This window comes from Homo sapiens, chromosome 1 (assembly GCF_000001405.40).
Source record: "Homo sapiens chromosome 1, GRCh38.p14 Primary Assembly".
Lineage (NCBI taxonomy): Eukaryota > Metazoa > Chordata > Mammalia > Primates > Hominidae > Homo > Homo sapiens.
The window spans coordinates 45,192,261-45,210,650 of NC_000001.11; the positions used below are offsets into that span (position 1 = coordinate 45,192,261).

At 39.3% G+C, this 18,390-nt stretch overlaps 1 protein-coding gene across 3 annotated transcripts in view, besides 6 other annotated features; it reads right to left on the reverse strand.

Annotated features, from left to right (window-relative positions):
• The window catches only part of ZSWIM5 (zinc finger SWIM-type containing 5), a 190,207-nt gene extending 175,862 nt beyond the window's left edge, over window positions 1-14,345 (reverse strand). For all 3 annotated transcript variants that reach the window (XM_047426192.1, NM_020883.2, XM_011541861.4), the window contains exon 1: window positions 13,496-14,345. In XM_047426192.1, coding sequence (XP_047282148.1) covers window positions 13,496-14,090 — 595 coding nt within the window. In that variant the 5' untranslated portion in view covers window positions 14,091-14,345. The remainder of the gene's footprint in view (window positions 1-13,495) is intronic.
• Window positions 11,623-11,823: a silencer, noted in NCBI's record as "peak198 fragment used in MPRA reporter construct". NCBI's record gives its function as "represses an SCP1 promoter by STARR-seq MPRAs in K562 erythroleukemia cells {active_cell/tissue: K562}" and the evidence as "EXISTENCE:reporter gene assay evidence [ECO:0000049][PMID:32103011]".
• Window positions 12,923-13,823: an enhancer, noted in NCBI's record as "H3K27ac-H3K4me1 hESC enhancer chr1:45670855-45671755 (GRCh37/hg19 assembly coordinates)". NCBI's record gives its function as "activates a minimal SCP1, AML or CMV promoter by ChIP-STARR-seq in naive H9 embryonic stem cells {active_cell/tissue: H9 hESC(naive)}" and the evidence as "EXISTENCE:reporter gene assay evidence [ECO:0000049][PMID:30033119]".
• Window positions 13,792-13,951: a silencer, noted in NCBI's record as "silent region_826". NCBI's record gives its function as "represses an Ori minimal core promoter by ATAC-STARR-seq in GM12878 lymphoblastoid cells {active_cell/tissue: GM12878}" and the evidence as "EXISTENCE:reporter gene assay evidence [ECO:0000049][PMID:35858748]".
• Window positions 13,792-14,723: a biological region, named in NCBI's record as "H3K27ac-H3K4me1 hESC enhancer GRCh37_chr1:45671756-45672655".
• Window positions 13,824-14,723: an enhancer, noted in NCBI's record as "H3K27ac-H3K4me1 hESC enhancer chr1:45671756-45672655 (GRCh37/hg19 assembly coordinates)". NCBI's record gives its function as "activates a minimal SCP1, AML or CMV promoter by ChIP-STARR-seq in naive H9 embryonic stem cells {active_cell/tissue: H9 hESC(naive)}" and the evidence as "EXISTENCE:reporter gene assay evidence [ECO:0000049][PMID:30033119]".
• Window positions 14,152-14,571: a silencer, noted in NCBI's record as "silent region_827". NCBI's record gives its function as "represses an Ori minimal core promoter by ATAC-STARR-seq in GM12878 lymphoblastoid cells {active_cell/tissue: GM12878}" and the evidence as "EXISTENCE:reporter gene assay evidence [ECO:0000049][PMID:35858748]".

The window sequence follows — 18,390 nt, forward strand, 5'->3', positions numbered from 1 at the left end:
TTCAACAGAACAGTAACTCTTCATTTCTCTCTCCCCTCAGCCCCTGACAACCTCTATTCTACTTCTATCTCTATGAATTTGCCTACCTAAATACTGCATGTAAGTGGAATCATATAATGTTTGTCCTTTGGTGTCTGGCTTATTCACTTAGCATAATCTTTAACATTCATCCATGTTGTAGCATGTATTAGGATTTCCTTCCTTTTCAGGGCTAAATAACATTTCCTGTAGATAGAAAGACAGAGAAAGGAAGGAAGGAAGGAAGGAAAATAGACCTTTTGTTTATCCATTCATCTGTCGATGGACACTTGGGTTGTTTCCATCTTCTGCCTATTGTGAATAATGCTGCTATAAAACATGGTTGTATAAATATCTATTCAATTCCCTGCTTTCAATTATTTTGGTTATACAACCAGAAGCAGAATTTCTGGTTCATATGGTTATTCTGTGTTTAATTTTTTTAGGAACTGCCATACTGTTTTCTACAAAAGCTACACCATTTTATATTTCCAAATGGTTCCAACTTCTCCACATCCTTGCCAACATTTGTTATTTTCTGGCTTTTTAAAAAAATAATAACCATCCTAATGGGTGTGAAGTAGTATTTCATTGTGGTTTTGATTTTCATTACTCTAATAATTAGTGCTGTTGAGCATCTTTTCTTGTGCTTATTGGTCATCTGTACATTGTCTCTGGAGAAATGTTTATTCAAGTCCTTTCCCATTTTTGAATTAGGTTTTTTCTTGTGGCTGAGTTGTAGTTCTTTAATATATTCTGGATATTAATCCCCTTATCAAGCAGTTCGGTTTTGAGTGGCTATTAAGATATCCACTTAGAAATATCTGGCAGGCAAATATATATGCTGATCTTTGGATTATTTGGAAGTGCTTCAGAGTTTCAAAGGGAAGAAGTAGCTGGCCATACTGATTAAGTTCTGGTCTCCACCCCAATCCCCAACACAGCTCAGATTTTATCTGCTGCAAAAGCTGGAATTCCAGCATAAGATTTCCTTTGAAAGTTAGAGTACAGTTGCTTTAAACAAATTTTAAACCACTACATCATATCATGCTATCTTATGTTCATAAAATTGTAGTTGAAACTGTAGAAATAAATTAGATTGTAAATTAGAAGACTTGATATAAGAAGGCGCATCCTACTATTGTGGGGTAAGAGAATAAAAGAAAACAGAAAGAAAGCCAGAATGGTGAAGTAAAACAAAAATCTAGGAAGAAGCATTTCAAGAGAAATGTATAGTAGACTACAGAAAATTCTATACAGAGGTCATGAAGAATGAGGACTAGAAAAAAGATACTGTGTTTGGCAATCATGAGGTCACTAGCGACCTTTAAGAGATCAATTTTAATTTAGTGAATGAAAGCATAAGTCAGACTACAAAACCTTTAGAAGGTGGAGTGAAGGTTGAGGGAGGGAAGATAAATACAGAATACTCTCAATTTTGGTAAAAGCTGTAATAATAATAGTGAATATTTACATAGCACTTAATATGTGTTCAGCCTCATTCTAAGTGCTTTACATATTAACTAATTTAATTCTCAAAACAACCTATGAAGTAGGTACCATCATTTTGCCCTTTTACAGTTGAAAAAACTGAGACTTTGAAGGAGCCAGAATTACATATTTGTGATAGTACGTATGTGTACATATGTGTGCATATGTGTATATATATATATATATACATACATGCACATATGGTAGATAAATCCAAATACATGTGATGGTAAAGACTACAATAATATAATATTCAGTGAGACAAAAATAAGAGTTTTTCACAATAGGGAGCCATAATGTGGGGAAGGATTTTATATTACTAATAACATCAATGTATGTTGGTGATGTTGGCTACTCATATCAGTTAGCAGGTATTGACAGATTTAAACAAAATAAGAACAAGCTGGCTTTTCCAGAATCTATCAGTGCTACAGGCCTCTATTCAATAAAACCATGAATGAATAGGGGGAAAAATGTAATTATCTCCAAGGCTTTCAAAGACACAATAGATTTTCCTGTTGCTCACAGACCAAAAGATAATGGAAGCACAAAAAGCTATTTTCCTGATTAGTTCCATTGTATGTTTATACCTAAAAGAAGCAACAATTTTTTTTAACAAAAAAGGTAAGGATTATCTGAAGATAACAAAAAGCTATTTTAAAGCCAGAAATCTGTAAAGTTTACTCTCAGAAAAAAGGATTAATATTTGGTAACATCTTGTCATCTTCCTTCCTACTAATATTACCCCTTTGGATCAACTATGCACCAAAGTATTACGGGGCATAAAAAATGTTAATACAGAAAGAATTTTATTAAAGCTTAATCTGGCCAGGCGCGGTGGCTCACACCTGTAATCCCAGCACTTTGGGAGGCCGAGGTGGGCGGATCACGAGGTCAGGAGATCGAGACCATCCTGGCTAACACAGTGAAACCCTGTTTCTACTAAAAATACAAAAAATCAGCCAGGCGTGGTGGCGGGCATCTGTAGTCCCAGCTACTCGGGAGGCTGAGGCAGGAGAATGGTGTGAACCCAGGAGGCGGAGCTTGCAGTGAGCCGAGATTGCACCACTGCACACCAGCCTGGGCAACAGAGCAAGACTCCGTCTCAAAAAAAAAAAAAGAGGTTAATCTAACTTGTAAGCAGTAAAGTGTTTTCAATCTTTATTGCAATATTAGACATAATTCTAAAATTTCTTATAATTGGAATTATATTAAAATAGAGCAATGTATCCTGTAGTCCCCACTTCCCAAGTTAATCACTTCCTACTCTCTTCCCCCATAGTAACTTCTTCTATTATTACAGAACATTGTGGTAAATGCCATTTTATCTATTCAGACCCTTAACTGATTTAATAGAAAATTTTTAAACGCCATTTTTATATGTACATTCCATAGTAAACTGTGTGCCTCTTAAATATAGAAATTATGTTCTGTTTTGCACAGATCATACTAAAAAATTTAAAGTTTTTGTTTTTTTGTTTTTGAGACAGGGTCTTGCTCTGTTGCCCAGGCTGCAGTGCAATGGCCTGTGATCACAGCTCACTGCAGCCCCAACCTCCCAGGCTCAAGCATTCCTCCCACCTCAGCACCCCCAAGTAGCTGGGACTCTAAGTGTGTGCCAACATGCCTGGCTAATTTTTTTTAATAGGGACAGGGTCTCCCTATGTTGCCCAGGCTGTTCTTGAACTCCTGGGGTCAAGTGATCCTCCCACCTAAGCATCCCAAAGTGCTGGGATTACAAGCGTAAGCCACTGTGCCCAGTTAAAAAAAAAATAGGTTTTATAAATAAATAAATGGGTGAACAAACATGAAGAAAATTATAGCTTGGCATTACATTAAATACAAATGTCTTTTGATGATAGTAACAATGACAATTTTTACTTTGGAATAAGGCCTCTCCAAAATACAGAGAGACATTCTTTGAGTAGTTAAGAGAATGATTTTCCTTCACATCCATTAATAAAGATAGGTGAAACAATAAATAGAAAAGAAAGTTGACATGGTCCATAGCATTTGTAGAATAAAGATTACATAATGTTTTGACTGCCAACAACAGGTTCAGAAACAATGATAACACTAATAAAGGTGTTAATTTTTCTTTTTCTTTTTTTTTTTTTTAGACAGGTCTCGCTCTGTCACCTACGCTGGAGAGCAGTGACGCCATCATGGCTCACTGCAGCCTTAACCTCCCAGGCTCAAGCAATCCTCCCACCTCAGCCTCCCAAGTAGCCGGGACTACAGGTGAGCACCGTTACACCCAGCTAGTTTTTTTTTTTTTTTTTTTTTTTTAAAGATGAGGTCTCAATATGCTGCCCAGGCTGGTCTCAAACCCCTGGGCTCAAGTGATCCTCCTGTCTTGCCTCCCAAAGTGCTGGGATTTCAGGTGTGAGCCACCAAGCCTGGCCAGGTGATCATTTTTCTACAACGGCATTTCTCAACCTCGGCTGCATATAAAATTACCTGGGAGCTTTCTAAAAATTCTGAAATTTGGTCCTAATTCTCAGCAGATTCTGACGTGATTAATTTGGGGTGAGTGCCAGGTACTGTTTTTTTGGTTTTTTTTTAATCTCCCTAGGTGATTTTAATGTGAAACCAAGATTGAAGCCCACAATTCCTTTTTTTTTTTTTTTTTTTTTTTGAGGCGGAAGTCTTGCTCTGTTGCTCAGGCTGGAGTGCAGTGGCACGATATCGGCTCACTGCAAGTTCCGCCTCCTGGGCTTATGCCATTCTCCTGCCTCAGCCTCCCGAGTAGCTGGGACTACAGGTGCCTGCCACCACGCCCGGCTAATTTTTTGTATTTTTAGTAGAGGCGGGATTTCACCATGTTAGCTAGGATGGTCTCGAGCTCCTGACCTCGTGATCTGACCGCCTCAGCCTCCCAAAGTGCTGGGATTACAGACGTGAGCCACCACGCCCGGCTGAAGCCCACAATTCTTTTCTTTAAAATCAAATTTTTGAGGTACAATTTACAATCAGTAAAATTTGCCAATTTAAGCATACAATTTAATAAGTTTTGACAAAAGAATATAGTCATGTAACCACTACAGTCATTAACATTTCCATCACCCAGAAGTTTTCTCACACCTACAAACCTGAGCCAATCTCCCAAGATGAATCCTGAGTGGTTAACTGGGCCTACATTTAAAATAGAGCCCAAGAGCCATTTACTGACTAGAGGTTACACACTTACTCTGAGTTCCTGGAGAACCCACACCTCTGCTTAACTTTGAGACTTTCATAGCTGACTATTCCTATTCACATTGCCCAAAACAACCAATAGGCTGTGGCTTGCATCAACCAATCAGAACTCAGCTGTGTTGACCAATCAGAACTAAGAAAGTTTGACTCCTTTATTTGCATACATGAACCTGTTTGGGAACCTGGACAGGAACTTTCAGTATAAAAGCCAAATCCCTTGTTCTCTGGAATGCACCTTTGTTTTACACCAACAGCTGCATCTTCCTGGTTTTCAAGCTGTTCTGTGGAATAGTCTCTTTCCTCTAAATTCCATTTCAGAGAACTTTTATTCACAAACTCCATTCCCTTCTACTTTGATCTACTGATCAAACCACTGATCTACTTTGTCATTATATCTCGGCTTTCTAGAATTTCATACATATGAAATTGTATATAGTCTTTTGGGTATGGTTTCTTTTATTTAGCATAATACTTTTGAGATTCATCCGTGTTGCTAGCCTATCAGTAAGTTTGTTCTTTTTTATTGCTGAACAGTATTCCATCTGTATGGATATACAACAATTTCCTTATCCATTCCCCCATTTGGTAAGCATTTGGGTCATTTCTAGTTTCGGGCTATTATGAATAAAACTACTATAAATATTCAAGTACAAGTCTTTATGTGAACATATGAGGGTCTTCAAAAAGTTTGTGAAGTTTGTGGAAAATGAGTATTATAAAAAAACTGCACATGGATTTCACTTTGTTTTGCACTAAGATAAACTCATACTAACTTGCTATAACATATCTGGATAGGATCTAGTTTAAGGCACTAAAAAGGATAAGACATTAGTTTGAAAAGAGCCCCTATCAGAGAAACATGAATACTGCTAAAATTGAAGCAAGAACAAATACCAAATTTATGGTGAAGCTTGGGAGAAAGAATGGTGAAACCACTGATGCTTTATAAAATGTATATGGGGCAATGCCCCAAATAAACCAGCAGTTTACAAATGGATAACTCATTTTAAAAGGATCCATCACGATGCTGAACATGAAGCCTGCAGCAGCAGACCATCCACATCAATTTGTGAGGAAAAACATTCATCTTGTTTGTGCTCTAATCGAGGACAGACAATTACAGCAGAAACAACAGACAATATCATAGACATCTCAATTTGTACAGCTTACACAATTCTGCTGAGAAATTAAAGTTGAACAAACTTTCCACTTGACAGGTGCCAAAACCACAGCATCCAGATCAGCTAATAAGAGCAGGGCTTTCACTGGAAATTTTAAACAAGTAGGATCAAGATCCGGAGGCATTTCACTGAAGAATTGTGACAGGAGATGAAACATTACTTTACCAGTATGATCCTGAAGACAAAGCACAATCAAAGCAATGGCTACCAAGAGGTGGCAGTGGTCCAATCAAAGCAAGACCAGACTGATCAAGAGCAAAGGTCATGGCAACAGTTTTTTAGGATATTCAAGTCATGTTACTTGCTGACTTTCCGGAGGGACAAAGAATGATAACATTTGATTTATTATGTGAGTGTTTTCAGAAAGTTAGCCAAAGCATTAGCAGAAAAATGCCCAGGAAAGCTTTACCAGAGTTTTTCTCCACCACAACAATGTTCCTGCTCATTCCTCTCATCAAACAAGGGCAATTCTATAAGAGTTTTGATGAGAAATCATTAGGCATCCACCTAACAGTCCTGATTTGGCTCCTTCTGACTTCTTTTTGTTCCCTAATCTTTAAAAAAATCTTCAAAAGGCACCAATTTTTCTTCAGTCAATAATGTAAAGAAGACTGCATTGACATGGTTGAATTCCTAGGACCTTCATTTCTTTAGGGATGTGCTAAGTGGCTTGTATCATTGCTTACAAAAGTTCTTGAACTTGATGGAGTTTATGTTGAGAAATAAAGTTTATACTTTTAATTTTTATCCTTTAATTCCATTTTTCCATGAGCTTTTGAAATCCCCTTATACACTTTCATTTATCTCAGGTAAATACCTAAGAGTAGGATTGCTGAATCTTTTGCTTAAGTATATGATTAGCTATAAAGGACATTGTTTTCCAATGTAGCTGCACCATTTTGCATTCATGCCATACATTACATACCAGCAATGTATGAGAGTTCCAGTTACTCCATATACTTGTCAGCATTTGGTACAGTCTTTTTTTTTTCTTTAACCATTTTAGTGTGTGTGTAATGTAGGTATTTCCTTGAATTTTAATTTGTATTTCTCTAAGGACTAAAGTATACAAAGTATGCAAACAACTGCTGTTAAGGCAAGAAAACCACTAGGCAGAAGGGTACTTCAGCTTTTGCTTCAATAGTCTTTTTTTTTTTTTTTTCTTTTTGAGACGGAGTCTCACTCTGTCGCCCAGGCTGGAGTGCAGTGGCACGATCTTGGCTCACTGCAACCTCTGCCTCCCGGCTTCAAGCAATTCTCCTGCCTCAACCTCCTGAGTAGCTGGGACTACAGGCATACGCCACCACACCTGGCTAATATTTTTGTATTTTTAGTAGAGACGTGGTTTCACCATGTTGGCCAGGATGGTCTTGATCTCCTGACCTCATGATCCACCCGCCTCGGCCTACCAAAGTGCTGGGAGTGAGCCACCACGCCTGGCCTCAATAGTCTACTTTTAAATAAGGTAACTATGTTATACTCCCCTAAATACCACATTCATCACTCCATTATAAGGAACAGGCAAATGACCAAAAAACATGTATCCAAGGAACTTTTCAAAAACAGGCTTCAGAAACTCTCAGAGTCAAATATTCACTGTTTATAACTTCCTCCCTACCTAAGGAAGGCAACGTAATGTAGTCCTTAGTTTAGGCTTTGATGCCCAACCTAACTTTGTACTCTAAGATAGGAAAATGCAAAGTACTACAGAAAGACTTCCACCAAAAACAGGTAAACAATTATTTACTGAGCCTTACACGTAATAAGTGACTAAACGTTAATTCAATGACTGAACCAAGAACAAGTTAATAATAAGCTTCAAGGATAATTTTTATCTATGTAATGCTTTAAAAATCAGAAGCATCCAGAAATTGAGCCACAAATGCCAATACATCTTTTAGGCTTCAGTTACATATAAATCAATTAAGAGAGATGTCATACTACACAAATATAAAAAATGATATGACAATGTACTCATTCATTCAATAAACATTTACTGAGCACCAACTTAGGACAAACCACATTATACATCCTAAGGGGGAGAACAATTACACTGAAAACCAAAAATTAATCAGTTGACTATATATGATTACAAAAACTATCGCAGAGTAATTTAGCGTATAATCACATAATACTACAGCTAATATTTAAATAAGTATGATTTTCTTAGTCTACTAGCTCCATGATAGGCTAAAAGTGTCCAAGAAGCATGCTGCCTATGTTAGAAAGAAATAAGCCTATAAATAAACCACAAGGTAAAAAAATTCACATAAAAATTATCTGGAATAAATTATTATCTATTTCTAATATCAAGCACTAATTGTAAACCATAGTAATTTAGGGTTTGGAAACAGACATTAAAACACTGTTCATATGCTTTCAAGGTTATCCATTTCTAAAGCTGAGTTATAAATGGTGTGCATGAAAAAAAACCCACAGTAATCTATTCATTCATATATGTATACCATGAGTGCTATATCACACAGTCATCATTTTTTATCAAGAATGACAATTTTAACCTTTAAATAACCACTTATTTGTCAAAAATATTCCACATGTATTAAGATTAAATAATCATGCAAATTGAATCAAGCAAGTCTAAATAATGCTTACCTAATAAAATTAATGTGGTGATTTCCTAACTTAAGCCATACTTAATGTAATAAAGTTTAAAATTCACATGAAACTCAGATATGCAACAAGAAACAAGTATGAGAAGCTGTTATGGGCTGAATTATGTCACCCCCCAAAAAATATGCTGAAGTCCTAACCCCCAATACCTCAGAACATAACCTCAGTCCCTCATGATGTGACTTTGGGAATAGGGTTGTTGTGTATGTGATTGAGATGAGGTCATACTGGAGTAGGGTGAGCCCCTAATCCAATATGACCGGTGTCCTTATAAGAAGGCCATGTGAAAACAGACACACACAGGGAGAATGCCACGTGACCACAAAATCAGAGATTGGAATTTTGCAGCTCCAAGTCAAAGAATGCCAAAGACAGCCAACAAACCACCAGAAGCTAGCAAGAGGCAACAAAGGATTCCCCTGTAGGTTGCAGAAGGAGCATAGCACTGCCAACACCTTGATTTTGGATTTCTAGCCTCCAGAACTCTGAGACAATACATTTGTGTGGTTTTAAGCCAATCCAGTTTGTGATACTTTGTTACAGCAGCCATAGGAAACTAATACAGCATTTTTACAGTAATATATATGTTTCTCTTGTACATTATATCAATGCATTGATTTTTAAAAATTTTATTTTCTACGGTATCATATAGTAAACTTGACTTTTTTGGTGTATAGTTCCATACATTTTAACACATGTATATATTCATATAACCCTCACCATAATAGATTACTGACAGTTAATGTCTTGTTTTTTAATTGCTATTATTGAAACAAGAGAAATAAAATTGTCTCCCATAGGCATAAATTTCCAGCCTTTTCTATAATATATTTTTAAAATTCCTAAAATAAAGATAACCTCTAAAATAAAATTCACTCTCTTTAGTTTATCCATCATCTTTAAAATCCAAAGCTCTATCCTTGAGAAAGTCACCTTTAGAAAAATTCATTTAAAGCTTTCATTTGAAGAAATTGATAAATCACCATTCGTCACACAAAATAGATGGTTAAACACAGAAGATACACCTAAGTTGTAACACTCATACTACTTAATGCTATCAGTTTATTATATGCACAAATCTGGAGTTTTCCCCATATATTCCAATACCACTCATACTCAAAATTCAGGTCTCTCTCTGTTTTACAACACTGAGAAATCCATTCTTAACGTTCAGTCATTCAACAAGCACTTATTGAACATTAAAATGTGTGCATATGTGATGTGTTAGGGTGGAGGGAGAGAACTCATTGATCAGAAAAAAAAAAGATAATGTGATTTAAAACTTGAAAAATTTCTATGCTAAAAAGCACACCCGCTTAAAGGAATGCAGCTGCCTTCTGTGATGGAATACCTTAAATATCAATAAAGTTATTTTTCTCCACATGAAATTTTATTATAATTTTATTCATTCTAACTCACATATGCCACAGTTTTTTCAATGTAGATATCTTTTGTTCCCCCAAACAATATAGATTAAAACAAATTACATATAAAAATCAACAAACTGTAATACTTGTTACTGATAAATTTCATAAAAGTTATACTACAGAAAAATTTCACAGACCTGTTTATTGATGATATACAAGTGTACACAATTTTAAACTTACTACTTGATGTTTAAGTTATAGATAACTTCCTGAAATGGGCCACTTTTTATATTTCCATTATTGACTTTGTAATTGTACCTCTTCCACATAAGGTAATACTTAGCATTCTGGTTCTAGTCTTGAAGACTTCAAGAACAAATCATGTACTTATTAAAAAATGTGTAGACTAAAACTATGGGGTTTTGTTGAAGTCACCTGTCAAAATCTACTTAAAATTTCTGGATAAATACGTACATAACTAAGATGTACCAGGCGCAGAAGGCCCCTGCATGCCTTTAGCCAATTTTTAAAACTAAATATCCAAGTAAATATAACATTTCTGTGTTTAAGTGAGAAAAACTGTTAATTTTTTTTCCTTCAATCAATTCAGATTTTCCTGAGAAAAAGCAAAGCTTCTTTAAGTTTTACCAAATACAAAGAAATCAATTTAAAATACAGTGGATAGCAAAAGGGTCAAAATGTTAAAACCGTTAGTAAATTATAGGTGTCTTATTCTTATGCCATCTGCAGACTCCTGAATAAGTATTTTCCCAAAGTTTATACTACTACTATATCCATGGGCTTCTGAAACAAGTTAAAAATGCAGATGCTGAAAACATTCATATGTTTTCAATAGAGTTCATACTCTAACCTTTACAATACTGAGATCAGACTGTAAGTCTATTGACATAGCTTTAAACTTACAGACATCCCTGAAGAGACTAATTTGCAATTTTCCCCTTTTAAAAGGAATACTACTTCTGATGCAGTACTTACATAAAAGAAATGTATCCTTTGAGCATAGCTGGAAAAGTTTTAGTTTTGATTTAAAATCTGAAGTATCCAATTTTTAACCAGAATTCATGACTTCCCATTACCAGATTTTGTGTGGAAAGTAATTAGAAATTACAGAATTTAATCTACCTACTCTTTCCACAAGTTTTTGTTTGTTTTTAATTTATTTGCCTTGAAGGCTTTTTTGTTTGTGCTTTCTTTTTTCATTTAAATTCCCTTTTTCATTAAATTCCCTTATGACTCTTTTTCTTAAAAAGATGTTGTCACAGAAATACCCCAACTTTCTGTTCTTCCTAAAGCATCGGCCTTCAGTAACTTCCCAAATCTGAGGTTCTATCGTTTAGAAACAGTAAGGAAATATGTAGAATTCTTAATTAGCATCACTTAGTAATTAATTGAGTTTGAAGTGCAGTTATAAACTGAAAAACACGATTACTATCTTGGTATATACGAATCACTTCCTTACTCATCTCTTGGCAATACTTTTAGAAAGCCTACTCTCTAGATTAAGTCATTTACTTATAACTTTAAGTTTAGGAGATGGGGGATGAGTCTCTATTAAAGGTGGTTCATACCAAAATACAGAACTCAAAAAGATGCAGAACAGGCTATCCTTCTCTCCTATACTTATTAACCTAAATTAAGGTCAGAATAATAAAAATTACACAGCTCGTGGTTCTCAAGTAGCATAAACTTAAAGTGATAAATTTATTCACCGGTCTTCGTCTTTGAAATCCAAAGTCAATCAGAAAACATGTTTGTTTATATGTGTCTTTTCTCAAGTCAATCAGAAAACATGTTTGTTTATATGTGTCTTCTGAAACTACCATAAGAGAGCCTATAACTCCAGAACCACATTAACTTTCATATTATAAAGGGGAAATATCTGATTTAAACATGATCTAGATTACCCAAAATATCCTATTTCATTTGGAAAGTGACACTTTAGTTACTTTAAAAATAGACACCTCTTTAAAACTCTTCCTCTCTTTTATTTGTTCCCTCAAGTTTGAAAATTCTTCCTCATCCATCTCTTACTATAAAATGACCACTTAAATTGATCCTTTTCCATTTAAAATATTTGAAACAAGAATCTTAAAAGTTAAATAAATGATCGAAACTCAGAAAAATTAAAATTTACAGACTAATAGGAAAATGATTGTATTTATTTTCATGTTTTCAGTGTTTCAGTATTAAAGCTGTACACCTTAATTACATATTTATTCAAGTCACTCTTTCAAAAATATACACAAATAAAGGACTAACCTCTTTCAAATAAACAAAACTTGCTCAAGCCACTGTCACTATATTCTGGCACAGGATAAATTTACATTTCACATTTGCAAAACAAGTTGTGGTATGCTGTTGTTTTGGTTAGAAACACAGGAATCAATGATTCTCAATAACCAGAAGCAGATTACTTTATATGAAACAGCACGATTCAAAGAAAAACATTTTTCAAATGTTTTCTCCAGGTTTTACCTGGAGAGCTAGATGTCTGGGGTTTGTGTCTTTCTGTGCTTGTTTAATTCTAAAAACAACCTCCCTTCAACTCCTTTCAAAAATCAGTATTTTCTTCAATTAATACGAGCATATAGTGTACAATAAAACGCATAAAGATATGTACTTCCAGAATGCCATAATAATCCAAATAGAAAAAAATTCGTGTTTTAATTTTCCACATAGCAAAGTCAATGTTAATCATTTTTTTATCCTTCTCCTTAACCATTCCACAAATCAGAAGCACTGTATTTATATATTTAATAAGATTAACAAACTGACTAGAAGCTCCGGAGGAGTAAAGGAAGAAATCATTTGTATAATATATTTTTCCATAACAAAAAGATAAAAGCAAATAGGACTTGTTAAATGAGAAGCTTTTGAAAAACCCAGCGTGACCAGCTTTTGATTTACCCCAGTCTGACAAGGAAGAGAGACCCCACCCCCACTCCAGATTGTATGGCTTTTTTTTTTTTTTTCCTTGGGTGGGGGTGTGGAGGAGAAGCTGTCACATTTCCATCTTCGGTTATTGTTAGTCCGCAGCCTAGATTCCCAAGCATCACCGGTCCAGGGGAAAAATCCTAACGCAGACAATTAAAACTGTCTGAAACATGCAGTATTTTGTTGGGGCTTTTTTCCCAGTGTTAATTTCATCGAGACTCAATCGGCTAGGGCTATAGATTGCCTCTGACAGTCTGTCCCTCAAACGCTCCCTCTAAAACCGCTTGTTCCAGATTTACTAACAATCCTCTCCTCTCCAAACTTAAATTAGGACAACACATTTCTGAAATTATTACATCCAAAAAGTCATACCTCCCCATTCTCTTTGCCTTGGTGTGGGGAATAGAAAGAGTGAAGAAGAGAGATCTATTCACTCTTCAAACAAAAAGAAATTGGGGTAGAGGGTCAGTGGAGGAAAGAGCAGTGGTGGACCTGAGTGAAAGGTTGAAAAAAGTTTTTGTGACTTGTTCGTCCTTCGGCAGGGGTACAGGAGTTGGGCAGAAGGCCGGGGTCTCGGCCCCAGGGCTCGGGCCGAGAAGAGGCACCCGCGGAAGAGGAGGCTGAGGACCCGAGAACGCCTGGACGAGCACATACCGACTTGCAGCACGTTCTCCACGGAGCCGCTGTCCAGCAGACGGATGCCCCGGCGGAACGGGAGCCCCTCGCCACCGCAGCCGGCCGCGCCGGCCCCTGCGCCCAGCCCGGGGGATGCCCCAGCCGCGACGCCCCCGGGGGCGGAGCCGGCCGGAGCGGCGGCCCCGGGGGGTGGCTGCGGCCCCTCCTCGGCCGGCGAAGCCCCCGCGGCGCCGCCAGCAGCGCCGGCGCCGGGGCCGCCCCGGTACTGGAAGCTGGAGTACATGCAGATCTCCCGCTCATTCCGCGGGAAGGACCAGTAGACGATGCGGCGCTGCACGGGCTCCGGGATCCGCTCGAAGCGCTCCTCCACCCGTTCGTATGCCCACTTTTCCGCCACCGTCTTGGCGGCGCAGTCCAGTAAGGAATCCGGCTGCAGGTGGGGGCGGGCCCCGAGGACCAGGCAGCTGCTGCCGACGCCCCCTGCCCCTCCGCCGGCTGCCCCAGGCGAACCGCGAGGGTGATGAGCCTGCGGGCTGGGCCACGAACACTGCCGCTTAGCCGGAGAGACCGGTGACGGCGAGAGCAGCTCCTCTCGCTCACCTCCGTCCGCCATTGCTGGGGACTGACTGACTGACTGAGGCGGCGGCGGCTGCTCGGGCTGCGGCGGAGACCCTGGCCACGGCCACGCGCCCCGCGCAAGCGCCCAGCGGTGGCGCCGAGGGGGGCGGGGCGAGAGAACCCGCGAGCCAGCCGGCCCGAGTGGGGAACCGCGGCCGGGCCCGGGAGCGCGCCGCGAGGGCAGACGCGGGCGGCCTGCAGGGTAGCGTGAGGCGGCGCGCGGTGTCCTGGCCGCCGCGGACGCGAAGACAGGCGGGAGCGAGCGCGGGCCCGCGGCGCGCTCCAGGCGCAAACAGCCTAGAACGCGAGCCGAGCGCTCTCGCGGATCCGGCGACCGCGGAGGGGAGAGGAGCGCCGGACGCTCTCGCACGCCCGCCCGCCCGCCCGCGCACCTCCAACCCACCTGCCGCCGGCCAGACAGGAATGGACTGTGTGACTGAATGAAATGGCGGGGCCATAAGCCATCCAAGGAGCCGCCTCCGTGAAGTTATAGGCTCGCGGGGTACAAGGAGAAAAAAACAATCCAGCTCCAACGGTACTGATGTGACAGGAGGTTGTCACAGCAGAGCGGAAGATCTGGCAGAAAGACGCTGGGAAAGAAGACACTAGGGGAAAACATCAGAAAGTTCGGATGATGAAAACTCACCTCACGCCACAACAATGTAGGATAAAGCCGGCGGTCACCCCACCCCAGAGTGGGACAAAGTCGCACCACCCCTTGACAATGGGGCATCAAGATCTTATCGCCACGGGGGTTGCATCCTGGTGGGGTCTTTTGGAGGGTTTAGCACCTTGCATCCTAGAATACAAAACACTTTTGCGTGTTTTTTGGTAGAATTCTCTGATCCCCTACCTCCAATCTGAATTAGGTCTTTCATGTTTTCCTCACTTGGCTCAGTCTTCTACACCTTTACATAGTTGTATTTTTATATATTTGTTTAATGTCTGACTGTCAACTCCATGAGAGTGAGAATCATGTCTATTTCCTTCACTATAATTTATCCTCTGCCTGGCACATAGTGGGTGCTCAAGAATGGCAGCTTCATCACTAACTCCATAAACAACACGCAATTGTAAGTTACTGTTTCTTGCTCGATCAAGAAAGCTCAGATTATTTCAGAATTTGCTGACAAACTAATCTCTACAACTTTAAAACGTTCCAAGAACTGTATTAAAAGAGTTTCTATAGTTGAGTTTGCCCTTCAAAGTAAGAGAGATTTAGAGTGTAGGATAAAATAAGAGTAAGAAGAGAGTAAATGATTGGAGACAGGCTGGAGCCACAGTTTGGTTTTGCTGTAATCTCAGAATTAAAGAGCACAGGCAGAATTGGGTGTGAATCACACTTGCTGTGTGTGATGCTATTCATGATTCTATTAAATCATTTGCAAAAGGGAGCTAGTAATAATGCTTCTACACATAAATGTTGTAAGAATTAGAAATAATTCACTTTAAAAAAAGTTTTTTTAGAGACAGGATCTCACTCTGATGTCCAGCCCGGAGTGCAGTGGGGTGATCACTGCAACCTCAAACTCTTGGACTCAAACTATCCTTCCATCTCAGCCTCCAGAATAACTAGGACAACAGATGCACAGCACCACACCCAGCTAATTCTAAATTTTTGTAGAGGGGCGGTCTCCCTATGTTGCCCAGGCTGGCTGGAATTAGAAGTAATTCAAATTGTTTGCTTATTCAGTGTAGTAGGTACTCAATAAGTATCTGTTTAGGCCAGATGCAGTGGCGCATGCCTGTAATCCCAAGGCTTTGGGAGGCCAAAGTGGAGGATCCCTTGAGGCCAGGAGTTCTAGACCAGCCTGGGCAACAGAGCAGACTGGAGACCCCATCTCTACACAAGAAATAAAAAATAGCAGGGATTAGTGGCCTACACCCTGTAGTCCTAGCTACCCTGAAGGCTGATGTAGGAGGATTGATTGAGCCCAGGAGTTCAAGGTTACAGTAAGCTATGATCATGCCACTGCACTCTAGCCCAGGCAACAGAGCAAGACCCTCTCTAAAAAAACAAAAAAAGAAAGAAAAAGAAATCTGTTTATATTGGTAAATGGATTTATATCTGTAAATAACTATAAATAGATTACTGCAAAATAGCATAATCCCTACTCCACCTTGAATCTGGTACCACATTTACAGGCTTCCATAACACACACTATTTTCTTTCCTATAATTTATCAGAGTTTTTTGGGAGAACGAATATTCCTTTAATGCCTGTCCCCCTAACTAGACTATGAGCTGTGGAAGGGCAGGAACCATTTCCATGTAAGGGCCTATTTCTACCACCTGCCAAAATGCCTACACATAGAAGATGTTCAGAAAATATTTGCACTTTGAATCAATGAATATGTTATTCTGATTTAATCAGTTACTGTCTTTTTTTTTTTTTTTTTTTTTTTTGAGATGCAGTCTCACTCTGTCACACCCAGGTTGGAGTGCAGTGGCACAATCTTGGCTCACTGCAACTTCCGCCTCCTGGGTTCAAGTGATTCTCTTGCCTCAGCCTCCCAAGTAGCTGGGTCTACAGGCGTGTATGCCACCATGCCCAGCTAATTTTTGTATTTTTAGTAGAGATGGGGTTTTACCACATTGACCAGGCTGGTCTCAAACTCCGGCTTCAAGTGATCTGCCCGCTTCAGCCTCCCAAAGTGCTGGGATTACAAGTGTGAGCCATGGCGCCTAGCCTATATTTATGTGTTTATTTGCTTAATGTCTGTTTCCCAAAATAGACTATAAGCTCCATGTTAGGCGGGCGTGGTGGCTCACACCTGTAATTCCAACACTTTGGGAGGCTGAGGTGGGTGGATCACTTGAGGCCAGGAGTTCGAGACAAGCCTGGTCAACATGGTGAAACTCCACCTCTACCAAAAATACAAAAATTAGCTGGGCATGATGGTGGGCATCTGTAATCCCAGCTACTCGGGAGGCTGAGGCAGGAGAATTGCTTGAACCTAGGAGGCGGAGTTGCACTGAGCCGAGATTATACCACTGCCAGCCTGGGAGACAGAGTGAGACTGTGTCTCAAAAACATAAATAAAAAATAAAAAATAAGCACATAAATATATAAATACAGATGGTAATAACACAGCAAATAAGACATTTGGGAATATGCAATATGTGGTTGTGAATAACAAGAATGCTAGATTAATTGGACCATAAGTTTGTGGTGAGAAATAGTGGGAAAAGACTGCAAGAGAGACAGGAGACATTGTGAAAAGCTTTTAAAAGCATTGTAAAATGCTAACTTGAGGAATCTGCATTTTCTTAGGTTGGTGGAGGGAAGCTAATAAAGGTATTTTGAGCAGGACAGTTATATGATAAAAGGCAGTGTTTTAGGAATATTAACCAGACAGAAATATGTAGGATGAATCAGGAGAAAGATAAAGTCTGGAGGCAAAAGATGAGTTTGGAGATAAACCAACAGTGTGGGAAGGAGGTAATAAAGGCTTGTAGAAGGCATTGGACGAAAAGATATCTAGACATCGGGCAAAAAGGGGCTGAAATCTGGCCTGCACTCCATTTGCCCATCCCTGCACCAACCAGGTTGCATCTGGGTGCCTCTTTCTCATTCTCACCAAGTGACCATATGGGCTAGCAATGGCTCTGGGCCTGTGTTACCTCTCTCTGTTTGATCCCTCTTCTCTGATGAGAGAATTGACATATTTCAAGGAGACTGTGGGAGTCTAAAGATACTTATTTTACAGCATTGCAATCCCCAGGGTGAAAACACAAATACCAAAAATCAATAACCAGGAAGAATACCTCACATCTTAATACAACTCTTTTGATGTCAGGAAAATTTTGATCCAACCTTAGAAATAAATCTTTAAATTTGCATTTGTGAAACATCCTCAACCCCTTTGCATGGAATGAAATGATGAGATGAAGGTGAAGGATAGAGTGAGACTCAGAGATGAGGATTTAGGTATCATTTGACAAGCAAACTGTATGCAACCCAGTCATTTATTTAATAAAATTTATTTTGGCTTCTATTTCAAAATGTAGAAGATAGACACCTGTGCTTCCTGATAACACTTTGTTTGGGTATATCATAAACACTGAATGAAGTGGGAATGAGAAATATTTAGGAATTAGAAAGGAAGATCATGATTTTTTTTTTCTTTTTTTTCAGACAGTGTCTGGCTCTGTTATTCAGGCTGGAGTGCAGTGGTACAATCTTGGCTCACTAAAACCTCTGCTTCCTAGGCTCAAGCGATCCTACCACCTCAGCCTCCCAAGTAGCTGGAACCACAGGCATTCGCCACCACACTTGTAGAGACAAGGTCTTC